This window comes from Homo sapiens, chromosome 17 (assembly GCF_000001405.40).
Source record: "Homo sapiens chromosome 17, GRCh38.p14 Primary Assembly".
NCBI lineage: Eukaryota > Metazoa > Chordata > Mammalia > Primates > Hominidae > Homo > Homo sapiens.
The window spans coordinates 80,957,882-80,978,894 of record NC_000017.11 but is presented as its reverse complement, the minus strand read 5'-3'; the positions used below and the strand labels follow the sequence as shown (position 1 = coordinate 80,978,894).

Genomic DNA, 21,013 nt, shown 5'->3' with positions numbered 1-21,013 from the left:
CTGTAACAGAATTCGGAGACTGGGTAATTTATGAACAATGGACATTTCTTTCTTGCAGTTCTGGAGGCTGAGAAGTCCAAGGTCAAGGTGCTGGATTCCCGTGCCTGGGGAGGGCGGCTCTCTGCTTCCACGATGGCGCCTTGAGCTCTGTGTCCCCCCATGGCGGGAGGCAGGACAGCAAAAGGGAGCTGAGGTGTGAAGCCTCTTACACAGGCCTTAATCCCACTCACAGGGGAGGCGCCCTCATGACCCAATTACCCGGAAGGGCCCCACCTCTTAATACGCTAGACTGGGGATTCGGTGCCAACAGGGGTTTTGGAGGGACACGATGTTCAGACCACAACAGTGGGCACCCTCCCTCTCAGGTTGCACTCTTAACACTCTTAAGAGACTTCTGTTTCTCACAGCAAATCCTCTCGCTTGAACCTGGAGGGACCAAAGGCATGACCGGAGCCGCATTCTCTGGCGTCAGTTTGTATTTTTGTCAATGAAAAAGAATGGAAGTGGAATTCATATAACCTGCAATTAACTAGTTTATTTTATTTTTATTTTTTAGAGACAGGGTCTCATTCTGTCACGCAGGCTGGGGTGCGGTGGCAACTATAGCTCACTGCAGCCTCCAACTCCTGGGCCCAGGCAATCCTCCCACCTCGGCCTCCCGTGTAGCTAGGACTACAGTCTGTGCCACCACAAAATAAAATAAAATTTTATTTTATTATTTATTTATTTATTGAGACAGAGTCTTGCTCTGTTGCCCAGGCTGGAGTGCAGTGGTGCAATTTTGGCTCACTGCAACCTCTGCCTCCCAGGTTCAAGTGATTCTCTTGTCTCAGCCTCCCGAGTAGCTGGGATGACAGGTATGCACCACCACATCTGGCTAATTTTTGTATTTTTAGCTGAGACGGCATGTTGACCAAGCTGGTCTTGAACTCCTGACCTCAGGTGATCCGCTCACCTTGGCCTCCCAAAGTGCTGTGATTACAGGTGTGAGCCACTGCGCCTAGCCCCGTTAACCATTTTAAAGTGTACATTTCAGTGGCATTCAGTGTATTCACAATGTTGTACAACCACCTTCTCTATCTGGTGTCAAAACATTTTAATCACCCCAGAAAAATACTCAGTAAGGGCTGGGCTAGGTGGCTCATGCCTGTAATCCCAGCACTCTGGGAGGCTGAGGCAGGCAGATCACCTGAGGTCGGGAGTTTGAGACCAGCCTGACCAACATGGAGAAACTCCGTCTCTACTAAGAATACAAAATTAGTTGCGGTGAGCTGAGATCACGCCATTGCACTCCAGCCTGGGCAATGACAGCAAAACTCCGTCTCAAAAAAAGAAAAAAAAGAAAAGAAAAGAAAAATACCAAGTGGCACCCCTCATTCCTCCTCTCCCCCCACCCCTGGTGCCATCAGTCTCCTTTCTGTAGTTGGGCTGGTTTTACCTATTCCAGATATGTCATATAAAAGGAATTGCACAATATGGCCTCTGGAATCCGGCCTCTTTCATTCCGTGTGTTTGCAGGAGGCATCCTCGTTGTAGCTTCAGTGCTTCCTTTTCAAGGCTGCGTAATATTCCATGGTATGAATATACTGCATCATGTTTATCCATTCATTCATTGTTGGACCTTTTGTTGTTTCTGCCTTTTGGCCATTATGAATAATGTCCTATAAATATTCCTGTACAAATTTCTGCATGGACATGTTTTCATTTCTCTTGGGTATATATCTGGGAGTGGAATTGCTGGGTCCAACGCTGATCCCGTGCTTAACTTCTTGAGGAACCGCCGAACGATTTTCCCCAGTGGCTGCACCATTTTCCATTTTCACCAGCAATGCGGGAAGGTTTCGATTTGTCCACATCTTCACCAACCCTTCTGACTTTCTGGTTTTCTTTTTTTTTTTTTTTAATTGTCAAATGATCCTTTATTGAAATATTTTCCTTTGTGCTTCTTAACTAGCTGGGCATTCCCCGGCACCATTGTTGATGTCATCTATGATGTCATGAGGATGGAGGCCATCAGCATTGCAGCCCAGAGACTGGGCAGTCCCCAGGATCTTTTTAATGGTTCCAGAGAGTTCTCTGGCTAAAGATCAGTGCCACATCTGTGGAGCAATGTTGACAATCTCATCAAAAGTGATATTTCCACTGTGTTTGATGTTTTTCTGTTTCTTTCTGTCTCCTGGCAGTTCCTTGAGGGCGTTGATGATCAGGGCAGAGGCAGAAGGCACCACCTCAGTCTGGGCCTGTCTGTTCTGAATGGTCAGTTTCGCTGTAATCCTCAGACCACCAGTCACCGGTTGCCTTGGCAATGTCATCACCAGCCTTTTTTGGAGACAGACCCAGGGGGCCGGTCTCGGGGGCCAGTGCAGACGTGGCACCGACTTTGCCCCCGCTGCACCTCAGGTGTACGACTTTGCTCTTGTTGGGGTGGAACTTCAGAGCATGGTGAAGCAGCTGGTGTCAGATGAACCAGGGTTCGGGACAACTGAAGGGAGTTGCCAAAAGCTGGTTTTCTTTCTAAATTGAAGCCATCCTAGAAGGTGTGAAGTGGAATCTCATTGTAGTTTTCATGTCCATTTCCCTAATGACTGGTAATGAGCATCTTTTCATGTGCTTATTGGCCATTTGTTCACCTGCTTTGGAGAAGGTATTTAAATCCTCTGACCATTTTAAAATTAGGTTGCTTGTCTTTTTAAAATTTTTTTATTTGTATTTTTTATTTTTATTTTTTTGGAGACAGAGTCTCACTCTGTCACCAGGCTGGAGTACAGTGGCACGATCTCGGCTCACTGTAACCTCCACCTCCCTGGTTCAAGTGATTCTCCTGCTTCAGCTTCCCGAGTAGCTGGGACTACAGGTGCGCACCACCATGCCCAGCTAATGTTTGTATTTTTAGTAGAGATGAGGTTTCACCATGTTGGCCATCATGGTCTCAATCTCTTGACCTTGTGATCTGCCTGCCTCGGCCTCCCAAAATGCTGGGATTACAGGCATGAGCCACCGTGCCTGGCTTATTATTATTATTATTATTTTTGAGATGGAGACTTGCTCTATCACCCAGGCTGGAGTGCAGTGGCACAATCTTGGCTCACTACAGCCTCCACCTCCTGAGTTCCAGCGATTCTCCTGCCTCAGCCTCTTGAGTAGTTGGGATGACAGGCGTCCACCACCACACCTGGCTAATTTTTGTGTTTTTAGTAGAGACGGGGTTTCACCATGTTGGCCAGGCTGGTCTTGCACTCCTGGCCTCAAGTGATCCGCCTGCCTTGGCCTCTCAAAATGTTGGAATTACAGGTGTGAACTCCTGCGCCTGGCCTGGGTTGTTTGACTTTTTGTCGTTGAGTTGTAAGAATTCCTTATATGTTCTGGATATTAAACCCTTATCACATACATTATTTGCAAATAGTTTAATCCATTTCTGTAGGTTGTCTTTTCACATTCTTTTTTGAGACAGGGGTCTGGCTCTGTCACCCAGGTTGGAGTGCAGTGGTGTGATCATAGCTCACTGCAGCCTCAACCTCCCAGGCTCAAGTGATTCTCCTGCCTCAGCCTTCCAAGTAGCTGGGACCACAGGCACGTGACGCTACAACCAGCTATTTTTTTTTTTAATTTGTAGAGACAAGGTCTTGCTATGTTGCCCAGGCTGGTCTTGAATCTTGAACTCCTGGGCTCAGGCAATCCTCCTGCCTCAGCCTCCCAAAGATCTAGGATTACAGGCCTGAGCCACTGTGCCTGGCAGGATAATGTCTTCTGATGCACAAGTTTTTCATTTTTATGAAGTCCAATTTATCTATTTTTTCTTTTGTTGCATGTGCTTTTGGTGTCAAATCTAAGAATCCATTGCCAAACCCAGGGTCATTAAAATTGACTTCTATGTTTTTTTCTAGCTGTTTTATAATTTTATTTCATGTATTTAGGTCATTGATCCACTTTGAATTAGTTTTCAGTACATGGTATGAGGTAAGAGTCCAGCGTCATTGCTTTTGGCATGTAAATCTCCAACTGCCCCCGCATCATTTGTTAAAAAGGCCATTCTTTACCCTTTATCCACTGAATGGTCTTGTCACCCTTGCAAAAATCGATCAGTCATATTAGATCTTCGGGTTTATTTCTGGGCTTTCTATTTTATTCTATTGCTCCGTACGTCTATTCTATGCCAGTACCACATAGTTTTGTAGTAAGTTTTGAGATTGAGAAATGTGAATCCTCTAATTTCTTCCTCCCCCCACCAACACTATTTCTTCTTTACTTTTTAGAGATGGCGTCTCCTATGTTGCCCAGGCTGGACTCCCTTCCCGGGCTCAAGAGATCCTCCCACCTCAGCCTCCTCAGTAGCTGGGACTACAGGCACAAGCCACTATACCTGGCTAATTTTTTTCTTTTGCAAGAAGAAAATTATTTTACAATATTATTTTATGATATTATAATTCTTTTACAATATCGTTCTGGCTCTCTGAGGCCCCTTGAAGTTGAGGATTGGTTTTTCTTTTTTCTTTTTATTTTTGGAGACAGGGTCTCATTCTGTCACCCAGGCTGGAGTGCAGTGGTGTGACGACGGCTCACTGCAGTATTAACCTCTCGGGTACAAGTGATCCTCCTGCCTTAGCCTCCCAAGTAGCTGGGACTACTACGCCATCATGCCTGGCTAATTTTTGTATTTTTTGTAGAATGGGGGTTATGTTGTCCAGGCTGGTCTTGAATTCCTAGGCTCAAGCAATCCACCTGCCTCCGCCTCCCAAAGTGTCGGGATTACAGGTGTGAGCCACTATACCTAGCCTGGTTTTTCTATTTCTGTGAAAAAGGCCATCGGAATTTTGATAGAGATTGCCTTGAATCTGTAGATCATTGTGGGGAGTATTGCTAACTTAACAATATTAGGTCATCCAATCCATGAACGTGGGATTTCTTTCCATCTTTAGAGCCTCTTACTTTCAGCAATGTTTTGTAGTTTTCAGTGTCAAAGTCTTTCATTTCCTTTGTCAAATTTGTTTCTAGATATTTTATTCTTTTGCATCCTATTGTAAATAGAATTGGTTTCTTAATTTCCTTTTCAGATTGTTCATTGCTAGTGTGTCATTTTTCTCCCAGACCAAAAAGTTTTTAAAAGTAAAACAAAAACAAACCCGTGGCCAGGCGTGGTGGCTCACGCCTGTAATCTCAGCACTTTGGGAGGCTGAGGTGGGTGGATCATGAGGTCATGAGTTCGAGACCAGCCTGGCCAACATGGCAAAATCCCGTCTTTACGAAAAATACAAAAATTAGCTAGGCATGGTGGCGCACGCCTGTAATCCTAGCTACTCGGGAGGTGGAGGCACAAGAATCGCTTGAACTTGCAAGGCGGAGGTTGCAGTGAGATGAGATTGCGCCACTGCACTCCAGCCTGGGTGACAGTGAGACTCCATCTCAAAAAAAAAAAAAAAAAAAAAAAAAAAAAAAAGGCCCGGCGCGGTGGCTCACGCCTGTAATCCCAGCACTTTGGGAGGCCAAGGCGGGCGGATCACGAGGTCAGGAGATCGAGACCATCCTGGCTAACACGGTGAAACCCCGTCTCTACTAAAAATACAAAAAAAAAAAAAAAAAAAATTGCCGGGCATGGTGGCGGGCGCCTGTAGTCCCAGCTACTCAGGAAGCTGAGGCAGGAGAATGGCGTGAACCCGGGAGTGGAGCTTGCAGTGAGCGGAGGTCGCGCCACTGCACTCCAACCTGGGCGACAGAGTGAGACTCCGTCTCAAAAAAATAAAAAAACCCAAAAAACCACCCATGTGGGTCCCACTTTGCCTTTGATTGTGGTTGTTGGCCTCTGTCACCTTCCCTGCAGAGCCTGGGGGTGGTCAGTCTCCTCCCTTTTTTTTTTTTTTGAGACAGAGTCTTGCTCTGTCGCCCAGGCTGGAGTGCAGCGGCGCGATCTCGGTTCACTGCAAGCTCCACCTCCTGGGTTCACACCATTCTCCTGCCTCAGTCTCCTGAGTAGCTGGGACTACAGGTGCCCGCCACCATGCCCGGCTAATTTTTTTTTTTTTTTGTATTTTTAGTAGAGATGGGATTTCACCGTGTTAGCCAGGATGGTCTCTATCTCCTGACCTCGGGATCCGCCTGCCTCGGCCTCCCAAAGTGCTGGGATTACAGGCATGAGCCACTGCACCCGGCACGGTCTCCTCCCTTTACAGGCTGTGAGGATGGGCATCCTGCACGTGGTCAGGGCTTTCATAGCCAGTTGGGTTGACAGCAGTGCCTCATCTGGGTCTTCCAGTTAGGGGAGAAGCTGGGCTCAGAGTATGAAGATGGGGGCGGCTGTGTTACCGCCCACAGGCACCTCCTCCTGCAAGGCAGGTCATGCCACTGTACCAGCGACAAACTCTGTGGCTCTCCTGCATCCAGCCCCTCCTTGCTGCTATGGTTGGGAGCCTTTCTGGGAGCCCTTAAGCTCTTGTCTCCCACGTGGATGGGGTGCGCAGCCCAGGAAGGCTCTGCTGGTCCAGATCCCCATGCCCACCTGGGCCTCTGCTCCATGCAGGTGGTGGCTGCTCCCGCTCCACAGTCTGAGTTTGCTGCCTTTTCTTCTTTCTTTTTCTAACACAGAGGGCATGGAGGGGGTTGTGGTTGGTAAACCCAGTGTGCCTTGCTCTTGGACTCCCTGGCACCTTGGATCCCGGGCTGCTTGCTGGGGGCCTGTGACAGGCCCTGTGCTGCCCTGGGGCTGGTGCTTTCAGGGCTGGCTCCCCCATCGCTGGGTTTGGAGGAGCCCCTGGCTACAGGGTGGAACCTGGTTGGCCCCCAGCAGCTGCTGAAGGTGGAAGCAGCTGGCAGTTGGGGGCTGGTTCTCTGTGGGGGCAAACTGACCACGGTGAGCCAGGCAGGGGCCAGGACTGGGGAGCAGTTGGTGAGGGTGTGCGGGCAGCTCTCTGGGCCTCCCCCTGCTGGGAGGTGAGCCTGGGACCCCATGTGGGGAGCCCCCAGCCCCCAGCTCCTGCCAGCCCTGGGTTGGAGGCTGCGGAGCTTCCCGGCCGCGCAGCTTGTCCTCCCTGGAGGGCCCTGGGGGCTTACACCCTCAGGCAAAGCCTTCCCATCCACCCCTCCAGCTCGCCTGCGGTGGATGGTGGATGACCCTGGAGGGCAGCCGGGAGAGCCTCCAAGGGGAGGCCAGAGGGGAACCCACAGCTCTGAGTACTCCTGCGCCTCCCCCTGCAGATGCGGCTGTGGTTCTGTACCTCACCAGGCTGTGGGGATCTGAGTGGGGGTCCTGGGGTCTGGGCAGTTCTTCTGACCTCATCAGATGGCATCTGCCCTCCGATGCTGAGCCGTGGGTGACATCAGCCTTCTGGGCCCAGGAGGCCACCTGGCAGGATGGCTCAAGCAGCCTTGGGCAGTGACCTTGGTGGCTGTCGCTGGTGGCCATGAGCCCTGCATGAGTGTCCCTGGCCTCAGCACTGGGGGCTCCTCACTTCCTGGCCCCTGGAAGCAAACTCAGAGCATGCCTGTGGGGCCACAGGCTGTTTGGAGGACGCTGCAGTGATGGCCTTCTGGGGAGTGAGGGCTGGGTTTCGGATAGGGAGGTGGGAGATGGGGGGTCCTGAACTGCCTTTCCCGCCACGTCAGGACCCAGGGCCGGGGACAGCGGGCGTCTGGGGGGCTGCATGGACGATGGGGGAGGATGTGCAGGCTGGCGGGGGAGGGGGTGGAGCGCATGGGCTGCCTGGCCCTGTCTTGGGGACATGAAGCCTGGTTTGCCAAGTGGGAACCGAGGGACATGTGCTCCAAGAGACACATCCAGGGACTGCAATCAATTTCCAAAGGGCCTTTTCTCCTTTCAGCGATGCTGTTAAGAAAGGCAATGAATCATGTGCCACAAGAATCTTGAGAGAACCCACGAGCTTGGGAGCTGGTGACAGACCCCCATTCGGAGCGCTCTCTGCACAGCTACACAGCGACCCCGCCCCCGCCTGCCCATCAGGACGGCTCTGCAGCTGCAAAGGGCGAGTGCTTGGTTCCCAAGGCAGGGCCCAGCTCCATGGTTCTCCTCGCCTCACTCTCCTCCGTGAGCCTCAGGGACCCGGTGGCCACAGCACCCTCAGTTCTCCCCAGAGTTGCTGTTCCCACCTCTGGCTGTGAGGTAGGTGGCATGGCAGAGGGGGCTGGCCTGGGATGTGGGATCCTGCTGTGAGCGGCACCAGTGGGGTTTGTCATGCTGACACTGATGACAGAGGTGAACTCATGGTCCCCCGGCCCTGGGGAGCAGAGACCCCCTTCCAGGCAGCAGGGCAGGGTAGGTGCATCCAGCACCCTCCATGGTCGCAGCCCTCCACCAGGTGGCAGGTCACGCCATGCCTTCTCTGTCCTCACAGTGGTGTGGCGGGGCTGGGTGTGTAACTCTCGTCCTGTGTTCCGTGGACACTGTGCCTGGGTCACACAACAGCGGATGGAGCCTCAGAGCCCCAGGAGCCCTGTGGCTGCTCCTGCTCCTGGGACGGCAGGGCCAGCGCAGGGACTGTGGAGCTCAGGAGGAGGGACCCTCTAGCTCATTATGTAGAGGAGGCGGCAGTCAGGCGGACGGGGTGGGCACCGGAGGGAGGATGGGATGGGCAGGGAAGCCGCCGCAACAGCTGCAGTGAGGTTCTTTCCCAAGGTGGAGGAGGGGGAAGGACAGGCAGGGCCCATGTGGTTGGGCTCTTCCTCCTCCAGCTCAGGAGCCACCGACAGGACATGGCCTCAGCTGGGTGGCACCAGGTGACCAGGCCCAGCTCAGGGTCTGCTCTCCTCTGATGGTCCAGGCGGGTACCGTGCAGCCCTGGGACTTGACATCGGCTGAGCTGTGGCAAAGAGCTGTGTTCTTCCCAGCTCCCAAGCCCTGTGGCACCCGCAGTTGTGAAGTCCTCAGGTGACCTCGGACAGTGTCCATTGGGTGCTTCCCTGGTGCCAGTGCTGTTCTGGAAGCTTCTGTGGTCTTGTTTGGTGCTCACAGCACTCATGCCTGCAGTAACTGTCCCCACATTAAAGTGAGGGACAGGCTGGGGCTTGGAGGTGCCATGGTGGCGCCAGTGTCCCAGGGCCACCAAGCAAACCACCGTGGGCCCGGCAGCCTGAGCGGCAGGCCTGTATTCCCTCTCCACCCGCCCTGTCTGGAGGCTGGACTTGGAGACAGAGGGGCCTCTTGGCTATCTTCTTCCGGGACCACTCTCCCTGGCAGGTAGGCTGTGTCCTCGTGTGGCCGTCCCTCTGTGCACAGCTGTGTCCTAATCTTCCTTCTTATAAGGACACCAGTCCTACTGCATTGGGGCCACCCTGGTGACCTCATTTCACCATACTCACCCGTGCAAAGGCCCTGTCTCCAAATACAGCCGCAGGCCCGGGTGCAGGGGTTCCGGGCACTGGGGCTTCCGCAGGCGGATGTGGGAGGTCCTGCTCGGCCCCCACTCTGGCCTCCCCGCCCGCCCTGTGTCCTTCAAGGGTTCCTTCCTGGTCTGTGCCTGACTCTGAGGCTCTGTCCTGTCTGGGGACGTGTGGGCTCCGGACCACCCGGTAACTGAGTCTGAGACACAGACCCCCAGAGGCCAACTGCTCTGCCGCCTCCCGAGGGCTATCCGCCAAGACTCCTGGAAGGGGGCCAGGCACAGACGTGTGTTGGAGGCCACAGCTGCCCATCTGGCAGGTGCCTGCAGTCTCACCCAGCAGAGCCATGCTGAGCAGGAGCCCCCATGGCCACCCCTGGCCCTCACCGGCCCCTCGCCAGAAGGCTGAGCATTCCTCCACATGGCATCACCAGGCCTGGCCCCTTCACCACAACCACACGGGGTCTGGCAGTGGCAGGGGCAGGTGTGGGCCTGGCTCAGCCCTGGCCTCCCCTGAGGCTGGCTTCTACAGCGTGCCCATCCCCATGTTTACAAGAACTCGATTTGTACTCATCTCGGTGACAGAAAAACTGGTGCTAATGGGAAAAATATGACTCTCTCAACAGGAGCCCGCCTGGCACAGCTGCGTGAGTGCCGGGCGTCCTTGCCTGAAACAAACTGCAATTCAGCGCAGGATTCCAGGATTCCATGGCAACGTGCCCTGTGTTCCGGCCCCGGCTGGGGCTTGGGAGCAGCTGCTGTGTCATGGGGGATCCACTTGTTTACCGACAGCCCCAAGGACCCGGACATGGTGCCAGCTTCCCATGCCTTGGCCCTGAGATCTGGGAGGCCCATCGCGGCCGGTGCTTCCCCCAACCCCACTGAGCATCTCCTTCCCGCCCTGTGTCCACCCACCTCCTGCCCAAGACCCCTGAGTGTTCGTGGGCTCTACCTGGTGGGATGCTCTTTGGCTTGTAGACAGGGGTTGGTTGGCAGCATAGTGTTCCCTATCGATGTCCACATCCTAGTGGGAGCCTGTGACTACCTGGCTCGGGGGATCCAGGTTGCAGATGAAATAAGGTTGGATCAGCTGACTTTAAACTAGGGTGGTGACCCTGGAGCATCCCGGGGGGCCCAGTGTAATCACAAGGTCCTTAAAAGTGGAGGAGGGGCCAGCGTGGGGCTCACGCCTGCAATCCCAGAGCTTTGGGAAGCCGAGGCAGCAGGATCCCCTGAATCCAGGAGTTCGAAGCCAGCCTGGGCAACAAAGTGAGACCGAGTCTTCAAAGCCAGCCTGAGCCACATAGTGAGACTGAGTCCTGTCTCTACAAAAAGTAAACAAAAATCAGCCGAGTGTAGTGGTGCACGCCTGTGGTCCCAGCTACTCAGGAGGCTGAGGTGGGAGGATTGCTTGAGCCTAGGTCAAAGCTGCAGTGGCCATGATCACACCCCTGCACTCCAGCCTGGGTGACAGTGAGACCCTGTCAAAAAAAAAAAAAAAAAGTGGAGGAGGGAGGCAGGCGAGCCGGGCTCAGTGAGGAGGGCCCAGGCTGCAGTGGGTGCCAGAATCTATCCTGGAAAAAGGAATGACATGAACACGAGGGAAGCCCCGAAGGGCCATTCAGTGCAGCACTGAGTGAGAGGGGACGTCCTCAAGGAGCCACGAGCCCTGGTGATGAGGCCGTGGTGGGTGGGGGCCCAGCGGGTAGCAGGCGCCCCCTCTGTGTGCGCAGCGGGGCTGGTTGCTCCACATATCGCCCTGGTGCATCCGAGTCCCGAGCTGCCACTCCTGCAGGCCTGCTCTAGGGCGGGGCGGGGCTTGCACAAGCAGCACCTGTAGGTCCCGAGTGCGTGGCTCCCCCAGCCCCAACACACCCCCCAGCCCAAGTGGTGGAGTAAAGGTCTCCGCACATGGCCTTGGGGTGGGGTTAGGACCCCAGTCCCTGCCACCACCCAACAGGCAGGGCTTTGGGCAAGCTACTCAGTGCCCGAGACCCAATTTCTGGTCGGCAGGTGAGAGGGGCCGGGGGGACAAGAGCCTGTTCCCAAGCTCTCCAGAAGTCAGGCCCCTGAGGTGGTGCAGTGTGGCTGACATGACCATCCCCACGGACCCTTGCCTCCCACTCGCCCCGCAGGACCATGCCCAGGCCCGTTGCCTCTGCTGTGGCTTCCACAACATTCCCCCTGGCTCCCAATCCCTGCACGGACCTTGCTGCTTGGGAAAAACCTCAAGGGACAGGCCATGACCTGCAGAGCAGAGTGTGATCTGGAAACGGGAGCCTTTCAAGAATTGGCCAGACGGGGACAGGCGTGGTGGCTCACGCTGGGAGGCTGAGGCAGGTGGATCACCTGAGGTCAAAAGTTCGAAACCAGCCTGGCCAACATGGCGAAACCCCGTCTCCACCAAAAATATAAAAATTAGCTGGGTGTGGTGGTACAGACCTGTAATCCCAGTTACTTGAGAGGCTGAGACAGGAGAATCGCTTGAACCCAGGAGGTGGAGGTTGAGGTGAGCCAAGATCGTGCCACTGCACTCCAGCCTGGGTGACAGCGTGCGATTCCATCTCAAAACAAAAAGCAAACCCAAAAAGAGTTGGCCAGAGGGATGTGCAGATGTGATTAGGGCTAAGGACCCACACAGCCCGAGGTGGGTACGGCCCCTAGGCCTGGAAACACTTCTGGCCTGCATGAGAAGTGGTGACGGTGGGCGTGGGTCAGAGGCCCTGAACTGGAGGAAGGGGCCACGAGCCAAGGAGAGTGGGGGCCTCCAGAAGTGGGGAGGAGCGGGGAAGCGGCTTCTCCCCCAGGAACTCTGACGTGGCCCAGATTTCAATGCAGACTTGAATGGGGCCTCTAACCGTGAGAGGATAACCGTCATTTTAAAGAGAAAGACACGTGTCTGGCCTACGTCACAAGATGGCTCTTGCCACACAGTACGCTCCCTGATGTGGGGTCTGCGCCACAGGGCTGGGGGCACTGCCTGGGAGAAAAGGACCGAGACCTTTGCACACTCGACGTGCCAGGCCCCCTGTGGCCACAGTGCCTGCCTGGAGAGCACCCGGGACGCAGAGCTGCTGGTGGCCCTGGGGACAGCAGGGGGGACCCGGGCAACGTCCCCCCACCCCCCAGAGCTCTGCTCTGACCGATGCCCCCCTGAGGTGGGGTGGGCAGTTTCCTTAAAGACACAGCCGCCAGCCGCGGAGTCTGCGCGTGTTGTTTACTGTTGGTCACTCTCTGCTCTTAGCTTCACATTACCATTTCGTGTTTTGTCAAAGTCCGTCTCAATTCGCGTTTGGTAAAATAAATAGATAATGAGCCTCTAGGCCGGCGCTCTCTCGAGCCGGTTAACGTCGTGATTGAATTTTCACATCAGACCTGTGAAGACAGCCCACGTGCAGGCGGCACGCGGTGCCCATGGGGGTGGGCTCCAGGGTGGAGCGGGGGCGGGGGGGGGTCTTGACCCCTCTGGAGCCACCTGCCTTTTGACAGGTGGTGATTTTGTCTCAAAACAAACAGAAACGCGTGTTGGGTAAGAATTGAGTTGAAGGACTGGATGGGAAGCTGCGTGTGCGGGTGGAGCTGGGCTTCTGGAAGATTCTGGTGTTGCCGCCTGGCACGCCCTGTGAGCTGAGTGAGGCCGGGACTCTCTACACCTTCCGGACCCGGGCTGCTTTCTCGGCCCAGACGTGGGGATGGGATTCGTGCCGGAACCTTCTTCTGGTGGGAGCTCGCATTCCAAAAAGGAGCAGCGGAGGGGCCGCCTCTGTCCTGCCTTGTCACGTCCCGGCCAGCCCCAGCTCAGTCTCCAGCTCAGCCCCCTGAGGGCCAGGTGTGTCTCTGGCCAAATGTGACCAGGCAGGGTTCCATCCACCCAGAAGATGCTCTTGGCCACGGCAGGCCACCAGCCACACCGCAGGAGAGCCGGGCCTCGCCACACCAGCTCTCACTCCCGTGGTCGTGGGCCTCTCACCGCCAGAATGAAGCCACCTGGCTCCTTCACCTCTCAATAATCCTGATTCCCGACGAACACGGAAAGAACACTTTTCAAAATACCATCATTGTGGTTGTGTTCTGTTTGCAAAACTGCTCATACACGCCCTGCGGCCCCTCCTGGGCGGGACTGTCCACACAGCTCCTGTCTGCACCACAGGCCCAGCTGTCAGCCGAGGTCGCATCAGCATGGGCGGCTCAAGGCTGGAGACGGGGCTGGTGTCACCCGGAGCCGTCCGGGACCCGGCAGTGCCTCTTGCCTGTATGTGAGGAACGTGTGGGGACAGAGCAGGGAGACCACGCCGCCTGCATGTGTGTGCCCCCAGGTGCCGGCCGTGGTGCCATCTGCACATGCGTGTGCTACACCTGTGTGAGGGCACAGGCATGGAGACCACAGGTCGGGCTGCTGTCCCCGCGCCTGTGGGGAAGAGCAGCCCTTCGGAGGGAAAGGAGCCCCGTGGATTAAGGCAGGGGCTACCTCGCCAAGGACCTGCCTCCCCTGTGCACCGCCACAGCGGCCCCTGCTGACAGCTCTGTGTGAGAGGGGCCAAAACTGGAGTCCAGAGACCTGGAGGTGCGGGGAGGGTGGGCTGTGCGCTTCCTGCTCAGTGATGCTGCCAGCGGCCAAGGACAGCCCGGACCCCTGGGCGGCTTCCTTCACACCCGCCAGTTGGAGGGGCGTCTCCTTCTTCCTCTCTCTTGGTTTCCCGAATTTCCAGTGTCCCCCAGCTGGCTAGGAAATGTCCCTGCTTGCGTGCACTGACTGTGAGAGGTGGTGGGCCTGGCTGGGGCAGCGCCTCTCGCTCGCTCTTGGCCTGATGGGGACAGCTGCCCCAGGGACCCGTAGGAGCCCCAGCGCCTGCCTCTCCGCCAGGGCTCTGTCGGGGGGTTTTTCTGCAGCTAATGCTCTGATTACATGGAAATAAAGTGAGGTGTTTCCCCTTTCAGCGTCTCAGAGAAACACAGAACAGGAGAGGGACAGAGGCGCCGTGGCCGCGGGGGTGCACCTGGATGCTGGTGCTCAGTGGGAAGCCACCGTCAACCCGAGCCCTCCCCTTCCCTGACATTCCAGACACGACAGCGAAGACAGACAAAAGCGAGTAGCAGGGCCCTCCTGCCGTCATCAGCAGCTAAGGCAGCAGCCAACGTTCACACTGCGGGGCCGCAGCAGCCGACGCCCCGTGCCCCGGCGAGTGACAGCTTCACTATGTACAGCAGGCGGCCGTGGCCTGGTGGGCCCGGGTCACGCCGCTATCTGACACGCTTCTCCACCGAGTACACGGAGATGTAGTAGTCGTTGCTTCCCACGGCCAGGTGAGGCTGCAAGGAGAGAGAAGGGGTGAGCAGGGGTTCAGGTGCGGGCAGACACTGCGGGGGGCGGGGGGGCGCAGGCCAACCCGCATCCTTAGGCAGCTCCTGCCGGGGTCTCAGGAACCCCCACGCCCACCTCAGGCCCGGAAATGCCGGGCCGGTCCCACCAGTCCTCTGCAGGGCCCATGCATGGTGCACTCCGTGAGGGGCGTGGCGCTGCCCCGGGCCCTGCGTGGTTTTTTCAGGACTGCCCCACGGGGCAGCTCTGGGATCCAATGTCACACGTGTCAGCAGAGCTACATGCCTGGAGCCTCACAACACAAGGCGGCAGGTGGGCAGAATCCTAATCTAAAAACAACGGCCTGAAGCCACGTGGGGAGGCTGCAACCAAGGCCAGAGAGCCGTGCAGGTGGGGCCCGGCCGCACAGGGGACAGGGTGAGGACTCGGCCGCACAGCGGACGGGGTGAGGGCCGCAGAGGGGACGGGGTGAGGGCCGCAGAGGGGACGGGGTGAGGGCCGCAGAGGGGACGGGGTGAGGGCCGCAGAGGGGACGGGGTGAGGGCCGCACAGGGGACGGGGTGAGGGCCGCACAGGGGACGGGGTGAGGGACGCAGAGGGGACGGGGTGAGGGACGCAGAGGGGACGGGGTGAGGGCCGCAGAGGGGACGGGGTGAGGGCCGCACAGGGGACGGGGTGAGGGCCGCACAGGGGACGGGGTGAGGGCCGCAGAGGGGACGGGGTGAGGGCCGCAGAGGGGACGGGGTGAGGGCCGCACAGGGGACGGGGTGAGGGCCGCACAGGGGACGGGGTGAGGGCCGCAGAGGGGACGGGGTGAGGGCCGCAGAGGGGACGGGGTGAGGGCCGCACAGGGGACGGGGTGAGGGCCGCACAGGGATGGACACCCCGAGCGACTCTCCTGGAGGTCCCCAGGGATGGCTTTAGTGCAGGGTCTGAGGGCAGGAGCTTTGCCCCAGCCACTGTGTGTCAATTCCTCCCGGAGTGACGGGACTGGGGCTCTGCTTCCGGGGCGAGTGCAGGGTGGGGCAGGGGCCCTAGAGATCCTGGGACCCAGGCAAGTCCCTCCCTCAGGCAGCCAATGGGCCCCACTGTGGTGTGGGGTAGCCAGGCAGGACCCCTGCTGCCTTGTCCCCTTGCCTCCCATCCCTCTACCCCAGCCCCCGACCCCCGACCCCCACCCACCGCCACACTGACCCAGTGCGGGTGGAAGGCCAGGCAGCTGATGGCGCCGACCCGCTGGCCCATGAAGCCGTCGTAGTACTTGATGTTGTTGATGAGCTCTCCGCTGCTGTTGTAGATGGCGGTGAACTGATTGACGGAGCCACTGTGGGGAGAGAAAGGGTCCCGGCATCACTGCCCTCTTCTTTGAGGATGGAAGATGGGCGCAGATGCCGAGACCGCGGGGACAGGCCGGCTAGACCACGGGGACAGGCTGGCTCGGGGCAGGTGTGACCCTCTGGTCACTCTCACTGAGGACTCGGGCCTGGCAGGGCCCTGAGAGTTTATCCTGGGAGGATGTGGTGGGCAGACATCTTTTGTTTTTATGTCCCCACAGCAGTGAAATCCTCCCCTGCCCTCCTTCAGCTCCTGGGGGCAGGAACACAAGAGCCTCCCGTTTGCACAGAGGCCCGAGGCGGGTGAGCGGTGCAGGCCAGGGAGGTGGGTGGCGCCTACCATGCGATCAGGTCCGCCTGGGGGTGGATGTCCAGGGCCGTCAGCCCCTTCACGATCTGAAGCACATTTACCGACTCAGGCATCCGGGGATCAAAGATGCGCACATCTCCATTGACGCTGCCAAGAGAGGGTCACAGTGACACCTCCTCCCGGAGGCCCCATGAGGGGCCTGGCCAGGGGGACGGTGGAACCAGGTGTGTGGGGTCGCACACCTGTTTGCACACACACTGCTCAAGGAAAAAGCTGCCTGGATGCTCAGCGTCCCCAGTGAGGGCTGCCCAGGTGGGGCCCAGACATGCACCCATACTGGTCTCAGGGCCAAGGCTGTCCCCCACAAGCTCTCTCAGAGCCAGAAAAGGCGCGGAGCTTTCTGGCCTAGAGAAATGACCATGAGCACAGATGCGGGAGGAGGCTGTGAGCTCCTGGTTTCATTTCCAGCTAGAGATTAGATTTCATGCAACCGGGGCCTGCAGTCCCGGGAGACAGAGCCTGGATGGCAGGCTGTGGCCCGAGAGAGGGATGGCCTGGCCCTTTTGAGGCCCCGTGGCTCCTGCCTTCCACCCCCAGCAGGCGTCCATCCCAAGAGTTATGTTTGGTTTTTATATCACAAACAAGGGGGAAAAGAGCATCTCTTTGAAGAAATGCTGGCTTTGCATTCATAAATTACATCTTGCTCTTCCTTTAATAGGCAAATAAATATTCCCTGCTCTTGGTGCTGTATTTACCAAGAGGCAGAACTGAATTTATGTGCAGACAACTGCCACGTGCCTGGCAGACGCGCCGCCCCTGCCACCCTGCCACCCCTGCCCGTGGAGGGAGAGCAGCTGCCCAACTCCCCCCGGAACCCTCCGCAGTTGGCAGCCCAGGAAAGTTCCCAAAGCGCCTGCAGGTCAGGTGTCCCCCAGCAGGGGAGCAGCTGTGGCCCCTGGGCCCCTACGGGCTGCGCCTGATCTTTCTGGCCAGTTCCAGGGCAGGAGTTAATTACTGCCCGAAATGCCATCCCCTTCCAGCTGTTTAAATACCAAGGACGTATTTTAAATGGAGGGGAAAATAATGTTTTTACAGCAGAACGGCTGCTAAATATCGGCGCTCCTCACCTCACACTCACGATGTGGCCGTCGGGACGCTTCTGCAGGGAGGCCTTCACCACCCAGGCTGTGTGCTCCCGGTACGTCATGACGCGGCTGTAGGGGAGGGGGCACGCTCAGCGTGGGGCTTCCCTGAAGGACGTCCCCACCCTTCGGGGCTCTCACCGGGAGCTGCCCAGGTCTGCCTGTGCCAGCGGGTCCGCAGGCCCTCGCCCGTCCGCTCCCCACGAGGGGCTAGTGCTCACGCAGGGTCAGAGCCCCCTCCAGGTGACCTGCTCCAGCAGAGACCCCCTGTGTCCTCCCCAGGCTGGCTCAGGGCTGGGCCCTAGGTCACCGTCAGGCCGCTGGAGGACTGTCTGAGCCACATGGAAGCTGCCCAGAGACGGGGGCCAGGCGGCCATCGCAGCGCTCCCAGGCCCTGCCCACCCTTTGCTTTGCTTCCCTCAAAACTCCTCATTGTGTCTCCCCGATCTGTGCAGACTGGAGGGTCAGGAATGAGAATCCCAGACCTAAAGCTGATGAAGCTGGAGGCACAAGGACCTTCTGGGAATCCTCGCTCTGTGCTGGGTGAAATTTACTTCTGCTGCATGAGCCGTGTGGGCCAAGACGGACTGTCCCCTGCTAGGCCCGGACAGCACCTGCCCACGGGGGTGCTCAGCAGAGGCAGTGCCCGGGGCTGCTGTGCCCACGCGTGTGCCCTGTCCCCTGCCAGACATGGACAGCACCTGCCCACAGGGGTGCTCAGTGGAGGCAGTGCCCAGGGCTGCTGTGCCCATGCGTGTACCCTGTCCTCTGCCAGACGCGGACAGCACCTGCCCACAGGGGTGCTCAGTGGAGGCAGTGCCCAGGGCTGCTGTGCCCACGTGTGTGCCCTCAGACATCCCTCCCCAGACACTTGCTGCATGACCCAGGAGGTGGCAGGCAGTGGCAGTATTCTGTTCAGGTGAGCTCAGAGGTGGCAGGTGCCTGGCTGCGGCCCTGCCTCACCCCGACAGCCTCTGCCTCCAGTCCACTGGCTCATCCCACATGGCCTGTCCCCTGTGCTCCTCCATAGGCTGTGGGGTGGACCTCTGTGGGGCAGACCTTTGTGGGATGGGCCTCAGTGGGACGGGCCTGGCGGCTTTGGGGAGCCCAGGACTGGCCTAAATACGCCACTGCAGGCTCCTGGGGAAGCTTTGCATCTCACTGAGAAACCTGGACCCAACCAAATGGCAGTGACACGGCCCTACCACCTGGAAGGTACCCTGCCAGCACTCGGGGAGGGAGAGGACAGGGTCAAGGTACCATTCGCTGAGTGCCATCCTTCTGTCGTAGACGCGGATGGAGCCGTCACCGAGGCCAGCCACGATGAGTGAGCGGTGGGAATCACAGGACAGACTCGTCACACAGCTGTCTGCGCCCGTAGGGATGTCCTAGAGCCAAACACAGGCAGCCCGGTGAAGACCGGGGCACCGAGCCACCCTCCCTGCTGTCCTGCAGCGCCAGGACCCCTCTTGCTGCCTGCCTGGCTGTGGGGATCACCCTCCCTGGCTGCAGGGGCCTTTCTCTCTATCCAGGGAAGCATCAAAGGCCTGGGGAGCCCAGGAGTCCCAGGGAGAGGCAGGGGCTGGCAGGACAATGAGTCACGCCCTTATCCCTTGGCCCTGGAGGGACAGCCCTGAGGCCCTGAGGCGCCTGGGACCCAGCCAGTGAGGCAGAGGCCAGCCCCACCCCGAGCGGAGGCCTGCAAACGCCTCTGGGAAGGACTGGCTGTCAGTGCCAATTAAACTTCCAACCTCTCTCTGTTTCCTAAAAAGGAAAGCAAAGCACATTTTGGCAAGGACTCCTCACTGGCTGCGTCTCAGAACTTCTAATGAGCTATGGGACGAGTCCAGGAGGGGTCATCTGGCTCCCTCGGGGGCTCTAAGTGCTGGAGAAGCGGGGGCGGGGGCGATGGCACCTGCCAGGGACGCAGGAGGAAAAGGGCCACGAGAGGGAGAGCGCTTTCCACGCACGATGGGCGGTGCTGGGTTGTGCACTCCAGGAGGAAACACAGGCGTGGGGATGATGGGGCCAGACCCCTGCGAGGGGCAGAGCCGGCTCTGGGAGCACCTGCTGCGCTCTGTGCCTCCACCCACCTCTGCAGGAACAGCACCTGCCCCGCAGGCCACCTGGGCCTCTAAGCCCCCACTGGTGACCAGACCCTGAGGATCAGGGTGTCCACGCTGTGCCCTGAGGGCTACGTCTCGTGTGGAGCCACAGCTCCAGACAGGTGCAAGACCCCCCCACCCCAAAGAAGGTGCCATGAAAGCTGCTGGTGCCTCGAGGGATCCACGGTCACGTCAGAGGGGAGGCTGCCCACACGGGAAGGCCTGGGCCAGGTTCTCGGGCTGCTGCTGCCCAGAGCAACCACAGCAGCTTCGAGCAGCTGAGGGTGCCCAGGCCTCCCCTCTGCTGGGCCTGCTCCACACCGCCCTCTACGGCAGCAGGGCTGAGCCATCCCTCCTGACACCAGATGGCCTGCCCGGGAGAGAGGCTGGGTATGGCCTCTGTGCCACACCTCTCCCTGGGGACCCAGAGGAAGGGAATACTGGCTCTAAAGCCACCTCAGGCGCTGCCCCTCACAGTATCTGTGGTCTCGCCTCTGCTCCAAATGAAGTCAATGCAGTTAGATTTCTGCTGAGCGCGGCCTGCTTAGGTCTCTACCACTTTTCCAGGCTGTCTTGGGCAAAACCAATGTACTCCGCTTTTTGTCAAAACTGAAAATAGCAGATGCTTTAAGAAGCAAAGAGGCTTCTGGCCGGGCGCAGTGGCTCACGCCTGTAATCCCAGCACTTTGGGAGGCTGAGGTGGGCGGATCACGAGGTCAGGAGATAGAGACCATTCTGGCTAACACGTGAAACGCCGTCTCCACTAAAAATACAAAAAAAAAATTAGCTGGGCGTGGTGGTGGGCGCTTGTAGTCCCAGCTACTCGGGAGGCTGAGGCAGAAGAATGGCATGAACCCAGGAGGCGGAGCTTGCAGTGAGCCGAGATCGCGCCACTGCACTCCAGCCTGGGCGACAAGGCAAGACTCTGTCTCAAAAAAAAAAAAAAAAAAAAAAAGAAACAAAAATCTTCTGTCTTCTGTAGCGGCTCACACCTATAATCCCAGTGCTTTGGGAGGCCAAGGCAGGAAGATTGCCGGAGCCAGGAATTCGAGACCAGCTTGGGCAAATACTGAGACCCCTGTTTCTACAAAAAGTTAAAAAAATTAGCCAGGCGTGTGGGTGCATGCCTGTAGTCCCAGCTACTTGGTGGTGGGGGGGGGGGGTGAGGTGGGAGGATCACTTGGACCAGGAGGTTGAGGCTGCAGTGAGCTGTGATTGCACGACTGCACTCCAGCCTGGGTGACGCAGGGTGACAGAGTGAGACCCCATCTCAAAAGAAAAAAAAAAACGCCTCCAAATAATTAATCATTCTAATTTACAATTGGTCACCCTACTGATTTCTGACATTCCTTAATTTGCAGAGAGAAGACACTACTTGCAAACACTCAGAGCTGGCGCAGCCTGAGCCATACTGCAGCGCAGGGCTGGGTGTTGCAGTTCACCTTCATCCAGAGGCCTCAGGGAGCCCACGTCTCCTCC

The 21,013-nt window shown here is 57.6% G+C and overlaps 1 protein-coding gene, 1 long non-coding RNA gene and 1 pseudogene across 3 annotated transcripts in view, besides 5 other annotated features; 1 reads left to right on the top strand and 2 right to left on the bottom strand.

Moving 5' to 3' along the window:
- Positions 1,905 to 2,496, bottom strand: RPL12P37 (ribosomal protein L12 pseudogene 37; annotated as a pseudogene).
- Positions 7,471 to 8,275: an enhancer, noted in NCBI's record as "H3K4me1 hESC enhancer chr17:78944420-78945224 (GRCh37/hg19 assembly coordinates)". NCBI's record gives its function as "activates a minimal SCP1, AML or CMV promoter by ChIP-STARR-seq in naive H9 embryonic stem cells {active_cell/tissue: H9 hESC(naive)}" and the evidence as "EXISTENCE:reporter gene assay evidence [ECO:0000049][PMID:30033119]".
- On the top strand, positions 7,682 to 12,656 carry LOC400627 (uncharacterized). Its single transcript, NR_148968.1, has 2 exons — positions 7,682 to 8,107; positions 9,950 to 12,656. It is a non-coding gene; the product is annotated as an uncharacterized LOC400627 (long non-coding RNA).
- Positions 8,276 to 9,081: an enhancer, noted in NCBI's record as "H3K4me1 hESC enhancer chr17:78943614-78944419 (GRCh37/hg19 assembly coordinates)". NCBI's record gives its function as "activates a minimal SCP1, AML or CMV promoter by ChIP-STARR-seq in naive H9 embryonic stem cells {active_cell/tissue: H9 hESC(naive)}" and the evidence as "EXISTENCE:reporter gene assay evidence [ECO:0000049][PMID:30033119]".
- RPTOR (regulatory associated protein of MTOR complex 1) overlaps positions 12,527 to 21,013 on the bottom strand; it is a 421,531-nt gene continuing 413,044 nt past the window's right edge. For both annotated transcript variants that reach the window (NM_020761.3, NM_001163034.2), the window contains 5 exons: positions 18,690 to 18,817; positions 17,415 to 17,501; positions 16,318 to 16,434; positions 15,838 to 15,967; positions 12,527 to 14,633 (listed from right to left, as the gene is read on the bottom strand). In NM_020761.3, the coding sequence (NP_065812.1) occupies positions 14,565 to 14,633; positions 15,838 to 15,967; positions 16,318 to 16,434; positions 17,415 to 17,501; positions 18,690 to 18,817 (531 nt within the window). In that variant the 3' untranslated portion in view covers positions 12,527 to 14,564. The remainder of the gene's footprint in view (positions 14,634 to 15,837; positions 15,968 to 16,317; positions 16,435 to 17,414; positions 17,502 to 18,689; positions 18,818 to 21,013) is intronic.
- Positions 13,063 to 13,612: an enhancer, noted in NCBI's record as "H3K4me1 hESC enhancer chr17:78939083-78939632 (GRCh37/hg19 assembly coordinates)". NCBI's record gives its function as "activates a minimal SCP1, AML or CMV promoter by ChIP-STARR-seq in primed H9 embryonic stem cells {active_cell/tissue: H9 hESC(primed)}" and the evidence as "EXISTENCE:reporter gene assay evidence [ECO:0000049][PMID:30033119]".
- Positions 14,163 to 14,712: an enhancer, noted in NCBI's record as "H3K27ac-H3K4me1 hESC enhancer chr17:78937983-78938532 (GRCh37/hg19 assembly coordinates)". NCBI's record gives its function as "activates a minimal SCP1, AML or CMV promoter by ChIP-STARR-seq in naive H9 embryonic stem cells {active_cell/tissue: H9 hESC(naive)}" and the evidence as "EXISTENCE:reporter gene assay evidence [ECO:0000049][PMID:30033119]".
- Positions 18,991 to 19,508: an enhancer, noted in NCBI's record as "H3K4me1 hESC enhancer chr17:78933187-78933704 (GRCh37/hg19 assembly coordinates)". NCBI's record gives its function as "activates a minimal SCP1, AML or CMV promoter by ChIP-STARR-seq in primed H9 embryonic stem cells {active_cell/tissue: H9 hESC(primed)}" and the evidence as "EXISTENCE:reporter gene assay evidence [ECO:0000049][PMID:30033119]".